Source organism: Homo sapiens, chromosome 16, assembly GCF_000001405.40.
Source record: "Homo sapiens chromosome 16, GRCh38.p14 Primary Assembly".
Lineage (NCBI taxonomy): Eukaryota > Metazoa > Chordata > Mammalia > Primates > Hominidae > Homo > Homo sapiens.
In genome coordinates this window covers 35,395,573-35,414,029 of record NC_000016.10, presented here as the reverse complement: position 1 = coordinate 35,414,029, position 18,457 = coordinate 35,395,573, and the positions used below count along the sequence as shown (strand labels likewise).

General features: G+C 38.5%; 1 long non-coding RNA gene and 1 pseudogene across 1 annotated transcript; one reads left to right on the top strand and one right to left on the bottom strand.

Moving 5' to 3' along the window:
• On the top strand, window positions 6,681–8,283 carry FRG2IP (FSHD region gene 2 family member I, pseudogene; annotated as a pseudogene).
• LOC105371201 (uncharacterized) lies at window positions 12,250–15,537 on the bottom strand. The gene is made up of 3 exons (XR_942160.1): window positions 15,491–15,537; window positions 13,294–13,513; window positions 12,250–12,523 (listed from the first exon to the last, which is right to left on the bottom strand). It is a non-coding gene; the product is annotated as an uncharacterized LOC105371201 (long non-coding RNA).
• Between the last annotated feature and the right edge of the window lie 2,920 nt (window positions 15,538–18,457).

Below are 18,457 nucleotides of genomic sequence, written 5' to 3'. Positions count from 1 at the left end.
TAATGAAGTTATTTAACGTTATGATCCTTTAGTATGAAACAAAATGTTAAATTTGATAATGGTTTTAATAGCACGTAATATGCTTGAAAATATGTCAATTTGTGATTGCCAATGAATCTTTGTGTTATTTTACGATGTGGGATACTCTGTCTACAAATGTCTAATGGCTTAGAATCTTGCCTTGCACATTGTCTGTGCTAAGTACTAGCTATTCTAATTCATCACATTATCTTTTTATACCATTCTTAAAATACAATATTATTTTATGTTTATTTTTATTAAAGTTATTTTTCTGCCTAATCTAAATATTTATGAAAATTATGAGGTCTATTCAGTCTACACTCTTGATAAAGGTCAGTTTTTGTCCTCTTTATTAATACGCTAGAGGATACAAATGCACTTTCATTACAGGGACATGTCACATAGTGATTTAAGTATGAACTTTTGGTGTAACCATCATCTGAATGGTGCTTATTGTCCCAATTAGATATTTTCTCATTTCTAACCCCTCTACCAACCTCCCATCTTTCTGAGCCTCCAGTGTCTATTTTTCCAGTCTATATCCAAGTGTGTGCGTTATTGAGCTCCCACTTACAAGTGAGAAAATGTAATATTTTATTTTCTATTTCTGAGTTATTTTACTTACAATAATGGACTCCAGTTTCATTCATGTTGTTGCAGAAGACATTATTTTATTCTTCTTTATTGCTGAACAATAGTTCGTGGTATAAATGTGTAGCAAATTTTCTTTTTTCAATCATTAATTGCTAAATTTAAATTGACTCTATATCTGCCATTGTGAATAGTGCTGCAATAAACTTATAAGTGTGAGTATCTTCTTTATGTAATGAATTATTTTCATTTGGGTAGATACCCAGTAGTGGGAGTGCTGGATCAAATGGAAGTTCTATTTTTAGTTTTTTGAGAAATTTCTATACTGTTTTTCATAGAGATTGTAGAATTTTACATTTCCACAATGTATGAGTATTCTCTTTTCCCTGTATGCTTGCCAGTATCTGTCATTTTTCTGCTTTTTAATAATTAGCCATTAGGAATGGTGTAAAATGGTATTTCATTGTGGATTTTAATTGACATTTCTCTGACCATTGGCAATGTTGAGCATTTTTTACATGCTTGTTGGCCATCATTGTCTTCTTTTTGAAAAATATCTGTTCCCGTTATGTGCCTGCTTTTCAATGAGGTTACTTATTTTATTCCTGTTGATGTTTGATTTCCTTGTATATTCTGGACATAAGGTCTTCTTCACATGCATAGTTCACAAACATTTTTCTTATTCCATAGGTTGTCTGCTCACCTGTCAATTAAAAGCTTTTTTTCAGGAGCTTTTCAGTTTAATTAAGTTCCATTTGTCTATTTTTGGTATTGTTGTATCTACTTTTGAGATGGTCTTAGTTAAGAATTCCTTGCCCAGACAAATAACCAAAATAGTTTATCATAGGGTTTCTTCTAGAGCTTTCATCATTTCACATCTTACATTTTAGTATTTTCATCTATATTGAGTTAATTTTTGTGTATGGTGAGAGTTAGGGGTACCATTTCATACTTCTGCATATGGCAATATAATTTTCCAGCATAATATGTTGAATACAATGTCATTTCCCCAGTGTGTGTTTGTTTTCACTTTGTAAAAGATCAGTTGTCTGTCGGTATGTGGCTTTATTTCTAGGTTCTCTATTCTGTTCCATTGATCTATGCATCTATTTGTATCAGTACCATACTGTTTTGGTTATTAAAGCTTTGTAGTACAATTTTTTAATCAGGTAATGTAATAGTAATATCTCCAACTTTGTTCTTTTTGTTTAAATTTGCTTTGGCTATTCAGGCTTTTCTATGGTTCCGTATGAATTTTTTAAAAATTTCTAATTCTATGAAAAATAACATTGGCATTTTGGTAGGAATTGCATTTAATATGTAGATTGTTTGGTGTAGTATGGTGATTTGAATGATAATAATTCTTTCAATCCATGAGCATAGGATGTTTTTCTCATTTGTTTGTGTCATGTACAATTTATTTCCTCAGTGGTTTGTAGTTTTCCTCGTAGATATGTTTCACCGGTTTGATTAATTATATTTCTAGGTATAATACCTTTTTTGTAGCTATTGTAAAAGGAATTGACATTTTAATTCAGCTCTCAGGTTGATTGTTATTAGTATATAAAAATGCTAATTTTTGAACATTGAGTTTTGTATCCTGAAACATTATTAAATTCATTTATCAAATCTAAAAGTTTTTTTGGTGGTCTTTAGATTTTTTTAGGTATAATATTATGTAATCATCAAAGACAAACAATTTGACTTCCTAATTTAAACCATATGGATGCTCCCACCAAGATCAACAGACAGAATTTGTGCAAGGGCACAGATGATGGTATTTCTCTAACATGGTCATGTGATTATGGTTGGAAGCCTAGGCTGAGAAACACTTAGCTAAACATTGCCTCTCAAGTTTCAAGGTACATATAAATCATTTATGATTTCAGGCCTCTCTGTTAGTAATGTAATTCTGCAAGTTGGGAAGGGGGTCCATGAATTGGCTTCTTTAAAAAGTTTTCTCTTAATGCTGATATTTCTCCCAGTACATCCATTGTAGTATCACTCAGCTAGAGAAAGCAGGCACAGCACAGAGTTTCTGACACCCAACGCTCTTACCACAACATAAATATTTTTGGCCCAAGTGGAAACCACCAATACCATTCAGAAACATGTTAATGTCAGCTGGCTCTTTGAAGTTTACAGAGGCTAGAGAAGGCTTCAATGTTAAAGTAAGTCTGCATTTGAAAAACATGTACACATGAGTTAATACAATGTTTATTGAGCATGTACTATGTGTCCAGAAGTCTGTTACACAGCACTGTGCTGGAAACATCACATGATGTGATTTAGTCCCCGTTGCTCACTGGGAGTTAGGTGTTAGGTGTCTGTAATTCTCAGGACTTAAGTGAAGAGCCCGACATTTCTATTTTTTCTTATATTTTAAAACTTATTTACCTATAAAGAAAATGTGTAGAATAAAAGCTGTGTAGACAGATGACAGGAATACAGAAATAAACAGTGAACTGTTCAGAGGGTTTTTTTGGTATTTATATTGACTTTCTTGTGCTTTGTAGAGCAACTACTGGATCTGCAGAAATAAAAAACAGGTTGCTAGGTGAGATGTCTCTAGATGCACTGGCTTCAGTGAAAAAGCAATTGTGGCCCACAGATAGATAATTATTTGCTCCCATTTATCTGTTTTTATTTTCAGGTAATTGTGGGCACCAGCTCAGGAGAGACAGCAGGAACCACCTCTCATATTTATGGTCTCTTTTAATTAGTTCTGTGAGAGGAGATTCTAGGGTGAGGCCAGACCAGGGTGAGGCCTTAGAAGAGGGTGGATCTGGGCAGGGCTGAGACAGAAAGTGGCTGATGTCTATGCTGGTGGAGTATTTCCAGTTCTGTCTTTCTTAAGCCTGCCCAATAGAAACTTGACTCTTAGAGTTTGTGTACTTTTAATCTATTTTAGCCATTTCCCTGTCAATTTTTATAACACACAATAACAAGGAATTTAATCAAAACTCTTAGAGTTTTTTAAGAAAATTATATGAGAAGCTAAAAAAATTATTTTTACTGAGATAAAAGAAATAGGAATAATCACAACAATAGCAATAATTCTTCTGTCATGAATAGCTCTTCAGGTGGTGACATCAGAACTCACAACAACAGCATAAGGGAAGTGGAATAAATGCAGTCAAAGTCCCCTGTACACCGCCCTTCTCTCTTCTGACCATAGAATGTTGAACTAAATCATTTAACCATTTGCTTGGGAATGAAAGTATCTGAACAGTAGCAACCATGAATGTTTCATCTGTTTTTCTAATAGTCGTGTGATAGAGTTTAAAAGTCCCCACCAAATCTCATATTAAATTGTAATCCCTAATGTTACAGGTGGGGCCTGGTGGGAGGTGGTTGAATCATGGGGATGGATTCCTCATGGTTCTGTGCTGTTCTTGTCATGGCGAGTACTCACGAGATCTGGTGGTTTACATGTGAGGCATATCCCTCCCCCATTTTTCTTGTTCCTGCTTGTACCATGGGAGATGCCTGCTTCTCTTTAATATTTCACTATTATTGTAAGCTTCTTTAGATGTTAATGTTGCTACAAATTTAACTCAACTTCCTTATAAATTACCTGACAAAATGTTTTGTGTTTCATAAATATGATAAATAAATATATTACGACATTACAATATATTACATCATTTGCATTATGACATCACAATTTATTATGATATAATTCACATGTATTATGACATCACCATGTAGTATGACATCACCATGTAGTGTGACATCATAATTGACATGTATTTTGACAGCATAATATATTATGACATCATAACTCATGTTTATTATATCACAATGGTATGATATCATAATGTGCATTATGATATCACAATATATTATGATATCATAATTCATATACTATTATAACATCACAATATATTATAATTCATGTAATTATATCATAATAACATAAAATTTTGTTAGGTAATTTTACAAGAAAATTGAGTTAAATTTTGTAACAACATTGATCTATAAACTTAATAAAACCTAAGAATATTTCCTGCTTTTGTATAAACGACTGCTTTATGATATTATAACATTGACAGAGCAGGAGCACCGTCACCTCTGACAAACACTGCCACTTTAAGTTCTAGCTCCCTTTCTAGCCTCATACATTTCAAAAAAATCACTTCTTTTCTAACTACAAGCAGCCAGAAAGAGCGGACAGTAAAACACAGATAAGACAGCTTAGGCACAGAGAGAGGTGGGGGAAAAGTCTTTTGGGTAACTGCCAAACTTCAGCCTCATACAATGGGCCCCAGGAAAACAGTGGGCCTTAATAAGCACATTTCTGTCCCTTCAGGTGCACTAAGATAGGGAAGCTAAAAGCAGACTTGGGAGGTATGTCTGCAGCTGCAAAAAGATGCGTGGGAAAAGACACACAACTCTTTCTCCCACATATGCACAATAAAGAAACATGGAAGCAGTCCAAGGCTCTGATAAACTCTCCCATTTTGAATCCTTAAAAACTCTTTGTCTGTAGAAAAGTGTGCCTCTGACCTAACTCTGCCAGATGCCACTCTCAAGTTTGTTTTCTCTAAAATAAACCTATCTTGACTGGCAAGCCAACTTCCGTGTCTCTTTCCTCTTTAATTCTTACAAACATGTCAAAATTTGTTTATATGTCAAATAAATTTTATGTGACATTATGTTATCAATATATAATGATATTATAAGTTACATTTAAATCCTATTTACATTCAGACAATTTTATTAGAAAGTGTCTGTCTACCACCCTATATTTTTGGGGGTTCCACTATTTGCACAGCCAGCACACCTGGGAAAACACAGACTCACCCAGCACAGGCTCTTCCCTGAATCTTTCTCTTCCTCAGGGCATCACTTCATCAGTCAACCAAGTCATTTGACAGTGGAGACCGAGTACTCCCTAACACAAAAGGTCTCATTCCTGCATGCTTTTCTCAGAAGTCGGGGAAACAAGAAGGTGTTTTTCGGGGACACTAGCTGGGAAATACACTAAGCCTTCTACAGTTCGAGGGCTCTAACCAGCAGATACAGACTTCTCAGTAGGAATGGATAAGGCAGCTGTCCCAAACGTGGAGCTCCACCATACCTTGTCTCATCTCGTTTAGGCAAGTTTGAGAGGCTGCTCTGGAATATATCTCGATGGTGGATGTTGGGAAACAACACAGGCTTTCATGGGATTCAGGCGGTGTCTGTTGTGTAAAGACAGAAGCTGAATGCTAAGGATCCACGCTGTTTTTCTTGTGGTCAGTTGGGTTACCTGTGTAGGACCAAGTCCTTTTTTACTAGGGAGCTGAATAAATTCTACAGAACAAGGTAGAACTCCCAGGATGACTGACGGAGCATGAGAAATGGGGGAAGTTTATCTCTCTACCTAGAGTTTTTGCTACTTCAGGAATCACGGGCTGATTAAGTCACCACCAGCTCTAATCTAATCCAATTCAGTTGTGTTTGATCTAATTATTGTCTCCATTTTTAAGGTAGAAAGGGCCATTTTATTTGGTTTTTACTTTTTCTCCACATTTTTATTTTATCATATATGTATGTATCTAATACAACTGACCATAACTTTAATTTGACATTTCCAAGCATTTGAGAAATTATAGTATTTATGTATATGACTTTAACACTATATATAATTATCTTTCTTTGCAAAATGTAGACACATTTCAATATAGGTATGTTTAATTCTGAATCTTGAAAGATAAGCAGTATCATAAATACTTTCATGTAGGAATTGGGAGAGAAATTAGAAAAAAATGATTCCCCTATCTTATGATTCCTGTGCCCCCAGCTTTATTTATTCTTCTTTTTATTTTTGACACTATGTCAAGACTCAGTAAATGTCTCCCCTTAACTGTGTTTAGGTCCCTAGTAAAACGACAGCCAGAAACTTTTCTTATTGAGGCCCTAATGAGTGGCAGAAAAAAGAAAACTGTTCCACCAGTAAGAGTAAGCCACTCCCAGCCAAGGGACTTACAAAAGGCAGGTCCACCAGAATCACACTCTGAATCTGGACATATAAGGGCACCTTTCACTTGAGCTTGAACATGGGAAAAGAAAATGAAGACCCCACTGCTCTTCCTTTCAATGCCCCACTGACCAGCCTCCTTTCCAACAGATCTCCTTTACAGAAAAGGGCTCAGATGAGAAGAAGCCATTCAAAGAAAAAGGCAAGACCCCTTCCTTCCATTCCAGTGAGAATCACATGCAAAGGCAAGATAAAGCCTTGGGCTGTTACCATGGAGGCTGGAAGGAGTGTTGGAATCAGGTATACTGAGCTATGTGTCTTTCATAGGATTTTATTTTGAGATTGGGGATGGGAAATGGCTTAGAACCTTGAGGAGAGATTGAGAAATGTGTTCACTCATGACACTGGCAGAAGAGCTTCATTTGAAAGACTGATCCACAAATGTTTGTCAGTGATGAGACTATGGGACTGTGTGCCTGGGAGAAGTGAGTCACTTAAACTCCATGTTGCACTATGATCAGAGCCCAATCTAAATGAGAGGAATTCTGAGGAAATCAAGCTCAAAGAAACAGTACTGTTAGATAGGGTAAGATTTGACTCTTTCAAGGTAAAAAGAGACAGAGTAGCAACACAGTCTTCCCTGGGAAGAAAACTGGGAGCTCTTTGGCAGCTAGGGCCTTGCAGATCCTGGATGCTGGAGAACAGAAGTGGGCTGGGTTTTGGTGGCAACTTCAGCTCCAGTGTGTCCAGGATGTACTAAAGTTTCTAGGGTGTTTGGTTGGAGGCACTTAACTCAAACACTCATTTAATCAACAGAGACAGAATCGAGCTCACATGGGGGAAACTCCAAGAACAGGAAAATCAGTTCCAAGGACAGCTGCCAAGACAGAGCAGGTAGAATCTTACCTTTTTTTTTTTTTTTTTTTTTTTTTTTGCCCCAAAGGGCAAACAAATAGGAAAATTTTATACACAGTTTGAACAGCAGGGGGGCTTCTTAGTGACTTGGAAAGTTTTTGAGATCCTGGCACTCAGAGGATATGTGGGGACTAAAATGGGGTTAAGCTTCACTTCAATAAAGTGCTGAGATGGTGAGGATGGAGAAGAAGAGACAAATGAGGTTCACCTGAAAGTGCACGGGAGGTTGTGGAAATGAGGGTCTGTGGGCACTGTTCTGGTGAGTCTGTCACTCACATTCTTCCTCTGCAGGGGCATGTCGAGGAGAGGAGCGTAGCTCGATGTTGAAAAAAAGAAACTAAAGTCCTCCACTGCTGTGCACAGCAGTGAAATCCAGGAGACCTGTGACGCCCACAACAGAGGGCCTTTCATGGCTCACACTGGGTGTGGCAAGTGACATAGGTCTCGGGACCCAGGAGTTCAATAGTCATCACTACGGAAAGCTTGGTGACCTTGCAAGATGTGTCAAAGGCCATTTGTCTAGACCTATCCCAGGTGTTGGTGAAGCAGGCTCATTCTCCACTGACCTGGGAGTAGGTCACTCAGCTTGGCCAGCTCTGGGGACCTCTGTGTGCCCAGTTGCAGGCATTCCATATTATGGCCACCCAGGCAGGTTATGTCTTCCCTGCTAAGAACTAGCTTGTTTCAGCCACACTGGCTGGCCCTGTGGATCCAGCCCTGTAGAAAGAACCCCACCTCTTGCATGAGCAGGAGTTAACTGAGCCTGTTAGTAGATCAGATGAGGCTTGAGCTGGCTGCACTCTCACCATATTTAGCAGCGAATGCAGCTCTTGGAATGACACCAAGAACCTGCTACTTCTCAGGTTCTTCCAGATGACCAGCAGTGACAATTTTAGATGTACTGTGTTAATAAATAACAGAACCTGAAGCAGTCATAGGAAGGAAACTTGAACAATATACTCAAAATGGTGAACCCTGCATTTTGTAGAGGGCTAAGATTCTAAACAAATTTTATATGTCTTGTTAGATATTTGATGTATTTTAGATGTCTGATAACTGTCATGCATTTCTATATAATCAAACAAATGTTAGAAGGTAATCATTCATATGCCTTTGTGTATTTTAAATTGTAGCAAAATAAATATAAAATTATATGCTTCTCTTTTAATTTAGAAGAGGTTGTAGCCTCTCCTTCCCCCCACGCTGAACCCATGGAGGACTAATATCCACAAACCTTTAATAGTACTCCCTACGGAAAAATGTCAATATGTTTCTACAGTGCAATAAAATTATGGTGAAATCACTACACAAGTGTTTACTATTAATATGTATTTTTACATAAAAGTGAAGTCAAGATATGTTAAATGTAATTCATCATATTTATTTATTCTTCACCTGACTCATATTTGCCTCATTTTAAATTTTCTAAATTTAGACTTCCTTCTATTTTATACATTTCTGTTGGTCATACTGTATTGTAGAATATTAAATGTAATATATATTATCATTTATTTTACATATTGCTATATTTTATAGTTTTTCTTCTTGCATTTTACAGTGAGATTATGAAATCTTTCATCTAAATGTATTTTTGTTTTACTCTTTGCCTCATAATTTATATATATAATGATATAAACATTAATGTTTCTGAGACTCTTCAATTTTAAATAATTTTATATTTAATCCATACTGAATTTGTATTACTCCATGTGTGACTTAGAGGACTTTTTATCTTCACTTCTTCTATATTTTTACCCCAACCTCTCCACACTCCGCAGCTCTTGTTTTCAGTCAAAGAATAGTGATTTATCATTACAGTAAATAAAGCCGATTCAATGAAAATATACAGATATATCTTGGAGATATCTGGCTTTTGCTCTAGAGCAGGGCGATTAAACAAATATCACAATAATGTGAGTCACACAGCTTTTCTTGTTTCCCATTGCATATAAGAGTGATGTTTACACTATACTGTAGAATAAGACTGAAACAGCCTATGTTTATAATAACAATGTATATACCTTGATAAAAAATGTACTTTATTGTTAAAAATGCTGACACAGATATACACACACACAAAGGTCACATGATGTTGGAAAAATAGTGTTAATAGAGTCGCTCAATGTAGGGTTGCAAAAAACCTTCAATTTGTAAGAAATTCAATATCTATGAAGCACAATAAAGTGCAATAAGACATGGTATGCCTATGTAACAAACTATTCACTAGTGATATACTCAGAAATCATACATAAATGATATTTACATAGGTATAAAAGTAATTAACAAGTTATAGTATGGGTGGGAGATAAAAATTACAACGTGATTTATAAAGTAAATTAAAAGGGGGACAAAGCCCAAAACATTCCTGAGGAGACAGAATCAGACCTCCTCAGTGACCTCATCTTGTTGATTTGCAAACAAGCAAAACATAATGTGAGGTATTTTTTGTGAATGCTTGTATTAAAAAACAACAACAACAGAACTTAAGCTTTAGTTATCAGAAGTACCCAAGACGTGTATAGTAATATAGGTCTATAAGGTAAACCAAAAAAGACAATTTTATAACTGCAACCAATCAAATAATTTTAATATTTTGTTCCTGCATTATTTCAATACCCTCTTACCTCTGACACTTTGCCATTTAAATGCTAAACCTCTTGTGGTCTCATGTTCCACAATTCATTAGTTGCTTTTTACTCAAGAAAATGTTTTTTGAAACAGGTTCCTGCTCTGTTGCCCATGCTGGAGGGCATGGAGAATTGAAGCTCTCTGCAGTTTTACATCCTGAGTTCAAGCCATCCTCCCACCTTAGCCCCATGAGTAGCTGCAAATACAGGTATGCACCACCACACCTGGCTAATTTCTTCTTATATTTTGTAGAGACAGGGTCTTACTATGTTTTCCAGGATGGCCTCAAACTCCTGGCCTCAAGTAATCCTCTCACCTTGGCCTCTCAAAGTGCTGGAATCACAGATATGAGCCACCATTCCCAACCAAGAAAACTTATAAAATTTCTGTTGTGCTACAGTTTACTTTTTAACAGGACAAAATAAAATAAACTAGCCATACATAAATCTAACAAAAATTTGTAAAGCATATGAGAAGTATGATAAAAAGTCCTTGAAATATAGGAAAATCAGCATAAAAGAATGGAAAATCACATCATGTTCTAAGGTAGAAAAATGCAATATTGCTCAATCATTATTTTATTAGAAGTAATTCATAAATTTAATTTTGTCCTAATAGTGATGCCATCTGGTATTGGAAGCAGGCATTTTATTGCAAAGTTCCTATAGATGAAAACATAAATAAGAACAGCTGAGAAAACTCTGAAAACATAACCAGAGTGGTTATCCAACCCTATGAGACATGTTTATTTATGAATATATGGATAGCTCAGTGGAAGCATAAATTCAAAGTAAACCACAATGCATGAGAAAGTGTCTTTGTTCAGGCTGCTGAAACAAAATACATTAGACTGGGTCATGTATAAATAACAGAAATGTATTGGCCACAGTTCTGGAGGCTGGAAAACTCAAGATAAAAGCACCAGCAAATTCAGTGTCTGGTGAGGGTCCTGTTTCTCACACGTGGTGCCTTCTTGCTGTATCCTCCATGACAGAAGGGACAAGGGTGCTCCCTTCAACCTCTGTTACAGGGTATTAATTACATTTATGAGGATGAATCCCTCCTGAGTTAGTCACTTCCCTAAAGGTTCCATGTTTTAAAACTATCACTTTAGGGATTAAATTTTTCAAATGAGATTTTAGAAGGAGACATAAATTCAGACCATAGCAGAAAGTCAGTTGGAAATAAAAACTACAGTTGGGTAGGCATCATTAAGGCTTTGGGTTTAGGAATCTGATGTTTCTCTCATAAAGGTAAAAAAAAAAGTACTAATTATAACCTGAAATAAAATAAATGTCAAATGACAGATAAATCTGTACTGTGAAAAAATCAAGTTTTTACAAGGGAAATTCTCACAGGTTATATCAGGACTTTTGTGGTTTCTGGGGTTCATAAGACCCCAGAGTTTCCTCCTGTGACATTTTTGCTGAAGTTTCTGACACTCTTACTCAATTTCAATGTGGAAAAAATCTGTCTTTGAGAAATTCAAAATAAAATTGGCCTCCATATTCTTGATTCTAAAACAATTATTCACTCAGTGGTGCTCTGCTGAGGAAGGGCGCTGAATCTCACACTCACAGAAACACCATGTTCTGTCAGATACAGGACTTCTCATTGATCCAGAGCCTCATCACTCACACAAGACCAGAGGCTTTCACAGGCATGCACTGCTATGCACCCTCCCACACAAGCTCAGCCCTGAGCATCTGACTCTGAAGGCGACTAATGAACATGTGCCCTAGTACTCTAATTTATGGGGATTTTGTTTTCTCTTAATGATCGTTTCCAGAGTTTTAGGGTCTTTCCTGAGTCCACCTACCACACACAGATAGACTGGGAGATTTGGACAGAAGCTTCGATCCTCACTCTAAGCCCTGGCCTGTCCCATCAGCTTCTCTAGAAGTACAATATTCTAATTACCCCTGAGGGACAACATGTCAGGGCAACTTTCTGTGCCAATAATTTAATAAAACTGAGAATAGAAACAGGCAAAAATTTCTGCTGAGGGCTGCATCTAAGGATCTACTTGCCAGACTTATATCTCCATTTTACACAAATATTGGCAAATGTAATTTTATCTCTAGATGAAAAATCAAAGAAGCAACCGCAGTTCACAGAGGAAGGAGAAAATGGAATCAATGTTCTATAGAATCCAGCTTACCTCAGCCATGGAAGTCTTCTCAGAAAAAAAAGCAATTGTTCTCTATCATCAGAAACAACTGTTGCCTCAGACAGCTGGACACTGAGAGTGCAGGATGTTCACTGGGATTCCATGCCTGCCTCAAAGAGGAATGGAATTCCCAAGAAAGGTTGAGCACACAGGTCCTGTTCTACCATTTGGTCCAACTAATATTATTCCTCCTCCTGGTCCAACAGGATTCCCCAACTCTTCTCTGCGTCTCACTAGGGATAGTTCAGAAAGATAAAATGTTATCAATGTCCCTGCATTTCTGTAGTTTTTGGGGTCTAATTTGTTCATTTTTAGGTTTTGGGTATTTGTTCTCCCTCTACATCCACAAAATTTGTGTGCTATTCCAGTACCTATAAATTTCAGTAGTCATTTTTCTAGACTAGTCACCCATACTGTCTTCTAGTCATTTTTTTTCTAGTGGAGCCAGATGATATGTACACAAGAACTTCTATATAAAAGTTCAACATAACTGAGTTGAGTAACACAACCCCTCTTTGGGCTAGACTGCCATTCAGAGAATGTGCAAACCAAATTTGTCTGGGGTTGCAGTTAAGGAAAAGAAAGACATATCCTTTCCATGAATGGTCAGTGAGAAATCTCAAAGTTTGAAAACGGTTGCCTATAGACCTCAATGATGTTCTCTTCATCTTGGAGTCAGTCAAGAAGAGATTTTTGGGTTCTGAGGGGAAAGTCATATTCAATCAACAAATTACCTAGCCAACATTTGTGGACCCAGATAAAAAAAGAAAGTACAATCTAACAATTTGGCCATGTTAATAAAATTAGTGATAAAAACTACAATGTGATTAAAATAGAAGTGGTCTCAAAAGCCTAAAAAGTTACAGGAATGAGCTTCAAGGGACACAAGGTGTGGCAAGAGTCAGCTGACTATTATGCTAAAGATGTAAATAGCCTTTAGTTTCAATGTGAAAGACCAAACAGTTAGAACATTGGCAATAACCCCAAAACCCTGAGTTCTTACCATTAAGTGGTGCAACGATCCCTGCTTCAGGTTCTGTGTGGCTGGCAATGAGGTTAGACATCCACAGCAGCCCAGTGAGCACCAAAAGGTGGCAACTTCCTTGACTTGTCAGTGAAATAAACCAGGCATTTAGGAAATATTTAGTGAATTGAAGACCCCATAGAGCCAGCAGTTTTGCTTCAAACAGTGGAGGGTGGTGTATTAGTTTGTTTTCACCCTGCTGAAAAAGACATACCTAGGACTAGGCAATTTACAAAAGAAAGAGGTTGAATGGACTCACAGTTCCACACGGCTAGGGAGGCCTCACAATAGTGGCAAAAGGTGAAAGGCATGTCTCACATGGCAGCAGACAAGAGAAGAGAGAATGAAAGTAAAGTGAAAGGGGTTTCTCCTTATAAAACCATCAGATCTCTTGAGACTTATTCATTACCACAAGGACAGTATGGAAAAAATTGCCTGCATGATTCAATTGTCTCCTACCAGGTCCCTCCTACAACACTTGGGAATTATGGGAGCTAAAATTCCAGATGAGATTTGGGTGGGGACACAGCCAAACCATATCAAGGGGCATAAAATTTTCACCAAAGAACATAATTTTTCTTTTACAGCTAATGTTCCTGTGGCATTCCAATTTTCTTTTAGAATATGTTATATTCTAAGTGACCTTCTGATGTCTCATAGAACTCAAATTTACTCACTTCAAAATTGGAATATCAAGCTGGGAAGCACCAAGCCCTTCATGTGTCAGGATTCAATTTGACAGGAGCTTTGGAGCAAGCTTGTCACTGACTTTCAAATCAGTGTAAGTAGTAGAGTCAGGGAGATTATGTATCAAAAACTCTAAGGGCCACCTCTAAGGGGAGGCTGACTCCCTCTCTCAGAGGCTTCAAGTGAAAAAAATATCAAGGATTCCTTGGCTGCTGGAAGAACTGAGCTATGTAAATCTGCCCACATAATTCCAGTGAATTTTAACTGGAAAACATGACTAGGGGATGTTGGGGATTTTATCAGCTACTGGCAGAGAGATGTTATCATTCTAGACAGGAGCATGAAGGCAGATGCTTCTAAATTGGCAGCCAACAGAACCTCACCAACAGAGTTGAACTTTTTGGACATCAGAGAGTAAAGGCACTCATGATAAATTCTGCCCTGCTACTGTGGCAAATGGCAGGGAAAATTGTCTCACTTACACATTTCTACCTGTTCCTCACCCAATTTAGAATAATCCCCTCTGGCACTTACGGGGCAGGCAAGGACAAAAGCATCAAACCTGAAAATTGCTACTACAGATTCTGATGTAGAAACACAACAGGACATTGATTGAGCTCCAAGAGCTCCACCCCCATTTTATGTGATCTGCCTGCTTTTACTGTCACCCTGCCCAAACAGTATTTGTTGAGTTTTGCTCTTTGTTTTATTTTATTGTTTACCTTTGTTTTATGTTATCCTCTACATAAACACAGATTAGCAAGTTACACTATCCCCAGGACAAGGGAATACAAAAGACCAATAAAGGCTGGCACAGGTGTGTGTTGGGGAGAGGACGGGGCAATGGGAAGATGTTATTCTCTTTAAACTTTTCACCCTGAGGTCTGTGCTGTCCTCTCACATTCATACCTTCCAGCATTTGGAGAGTATTCAGGATCAGAAGCTACCATCTGATGAAGGAGGATGAAGGACTTTATCTGGAGAATGATGTCAAAGGTCAAAACATGAGCAGGGAGGGTTTCCCCGAGACATCTCTCCTGGGCTTGTAAGTGGCCACCTTCTCTTTCTGTTTTCATGTGGCCATTTCTCTGTATGTACACATTTGTATCCTTATATCCTCTTTCATGGAGACATCAGTTACATTGGATTTGGGCCCACCCTAAGGCCTTCATTTTAAAACTTTTTTATTGTAACTGATAAAAATTGTCTACATTTATGGTACCGTTTTGAAACATGCACACACTGTGGAATGGTTAACCCAAGCTAATTGGCATATGCATTACCTCACATACCTATCATTTTTTTGCTGTGAGAACACTCAAAATCTACTGTCTTATCAATGTTCAAGAACAGAGTACATTAAATGTAGTCACCAAATGCAATAAACCTGTTGTATTTATTCCTCTTGTCTAACTGAAATTTTGTATAATGTGACCATATCCCCACCACCCCAACTCCACCCCCAAAGACCTCATTTTAATGTAATTACCTCTTTGATGAAGCTATCTCCCAATGTAGTCACATTCTTTGGTGCTGGGGTGACAGTGTCAACATATGAATTTTGGAAAGCACACAATTCAGCTCTCACAGAAGCCTCTGTCATGACGTAACACTTACATTGAGATTTCGGTAACCTAGCAACAGAGGGAATGACATGCAAAGATTCTGGGAATAAAATTCCAGGCAGAGAATTCTATTGAGCAAGGGTTCTGAAATGAGAGTCAACAGTTTGAGTTTGAGAAACCACAGACCAGTGGCATGGGGGAGGGGGCACAGAAAGCAAGGGGAGGAGCTGAACTCACAGAGTCTTGGTGAGACATATAAACCTGACTGTGATTTTATTCCCTATGTGGTGAGAAGTCATTGGAGGGTTTTAAGCAAGAGACATGATCAGATTCAGATGTTCAAAAGTTTTTTTCAGTTGCTTCATGGAGAATGCATTCTAAAGAGGACAAATATGAAAACAAGGAGCCTTTTGTCACAGGTCAGGTGAAAGTGATGGTGGCTTAGACGGGGTGATGTGGAATCAGAATGAAGCAGGTGGATTGGGGATATGTTTGAGCACGAGACTATAGAACCTGTTGATTTGTTGCATGAAAGGGAAAAGGGTCTTCAAGACTACTGTACAAGTTAGTCAAGTCAGGAGAATTTCCAGAGATGTGGTGGGGCTCCTTACTGAGATAGGAAAGAATGGGAGAACAGGCTTTCAGAGAACATTCAAGTGATCTAGCATTTTCCTAAGAGCATGGGTCAGGAAACTTGGTGGTGCCTGGCCATTCTCAGAAGTACTGACACACTCCTCCCTCTGGGTCATTTTAGCACTGACACCAAGACCCAGGGCACGGAAATTCCCAAATGGGAAAAGGCATGATGCTGTAGAAATGCAAGCGTGGTGATGAGGTTGGTAGGGCTTTGGAGCATGGCACCTGTGTGACCTAGAAGGAGACCTGCTGCATCTGGTCTGGGTGAGGTCAGTCCTCAGTGCAGTGCAAGTCACACTTGTGAAATGAATGCAAGCCCTGGCACACGCTGGGTAGCTGGCATGAATTACTATTGGTATTATTATTAATATCTTTGGTGTTATTATTAATATCCTCAGTACTGATGGGACATCAGTTCAGCCACTCCAACAAAACCTTCAGAGATATACAAAGGCCCTGAGACAGTCCTCACTCTTCCACACATTTCTCCAGTTTAGTAGCCAACTGACTCTCACTTCAGCCTTATTGGGTTTTTATGTTAAACTAGTGGCTCTAGGTATGTCCCAAAGGCTCTGAGCAGTGTGTGGGTTGTGTTCTGTCTACCCCAGGCCCTTGACAGGATGAGGGGCAGGGAGGAGGTGGCAGCTGTAGACCCACGGAGACAGTGGCACGAGCAGGTTTTCCCCCACATGCAAGGCTGCTTCTTTTTGCTTGTTCAATAAATAGAAGCCCACTCAGTCTCACAAAGTTTGCTTCCAAGTGAGACAATAAACATTTTGTCCATAGCTGTATTTTTCTACTGTTGACAACAGATGAAACTAAGAAAGTCAAGTACAGTATCCCCTCCTGTCTGCAGGGACTATGTATGTTCCAAGACTCCCCCACTGAATGGCTGAAACCAAGGATAGTACTACACCTTACATATACTATGGACAAATTTCTTTTTGCTGCTTCACAATTTCACAATTTGTTCTTACAATCTTGTTCTTACAAGATTTGTTCTTACAATAGACATTACCAACCTCAACCTACAAGATTGTTTTTCTTTCCTCATTAAGTTGAGAAGTTTTGGGTTTTCATTTTAATAAAAGCACTTTATGGCTTTTCTTTGGCATATCTGAATTACTCTGTGCTTTGGAATCATCATGAAGCAAAATAAGCGTTCATTGAACCCATGCACTATGATAACACAGCAGTCGATCTGATAACTGAGACAGCTACTAAAGTGACTAATCAGCAGGTAGTGGGTACAGTGTGAAAATACTGGACAAAGAGATGATTCACATCCTGGGAGGGTGGGAGACTTCATCAAGCTACTCAGAATTGGTGAGCAATTTAAAATTTGAGTTGTTTACTTCTTGAAATATCTATATAGTATTTTCAGACTGCAGGTAACTGAGACCACAGAAAGCAAAACAGCCGATAATGGGGGACTACCGTATCAGTGTTCTCTTGGAGTACCATAGACAAAATTATACTGTCCAAACTAATGACCATTCATTCATCTACTACTGTTTATTGAGCACCTCCTAAGTGTCAGACGCATGCTGATGTGTCAATAAAGCGGGAGTGTCACTTTGCCTCCCATGGGGCTTTTGAGCTTCACTGTGCTAGGTTTTGGGGTACCTGCCTCCCAGTCACCCACCTGACTTGCAGAAATGCAGGCCTGAGTCCAGCCAACAAGAGCAGTTGGTCATCTTCAGCACTTGGTTTGATGAAGCCACTCTCTTGTTCAACAATGGCACAGGACTGGTTTTCTGGATCACATCTTTGTGGGGCCTCTGCAGCTGTGAGTGCTGGATGCCTCCGAGCAGGACACTGGGACCTATAGCTGTCAGGGCTCACCCCATGCATGCAGTGCCCTTTCATTGTCTATGTGACAGGTGAGTGCTTTTTTTTCTTTTGAGACATGGTCTCACTCTGTCACTCAGGCTGGAGTGCAGGGGCACAGTCATGGCTCACTGAAGCCTTGACCTACTGGGCTCAAGTGATCCTTCCACCTAAGCCTTCTAGCTGGGACTACAGGCATGTACCACCATGGACAGCTAATTTTTTTTTTTTTTTTTTGAGACAGAGTCTCGCTCTGTCGTCTTGGCTGGAGTGCAGTGGTGTGATCTCGGATCACTGCAAGCTCCGCCTCCCTGGTTCACGCCATTCTCCTGCCTCAGCCTCCTGAGTAGCTGGGACTACAAGTGCCCACCACCACGCCTGGCTAATTTTTTTGTATTTTTAATAGAGACGGGGTTTCACCGTAT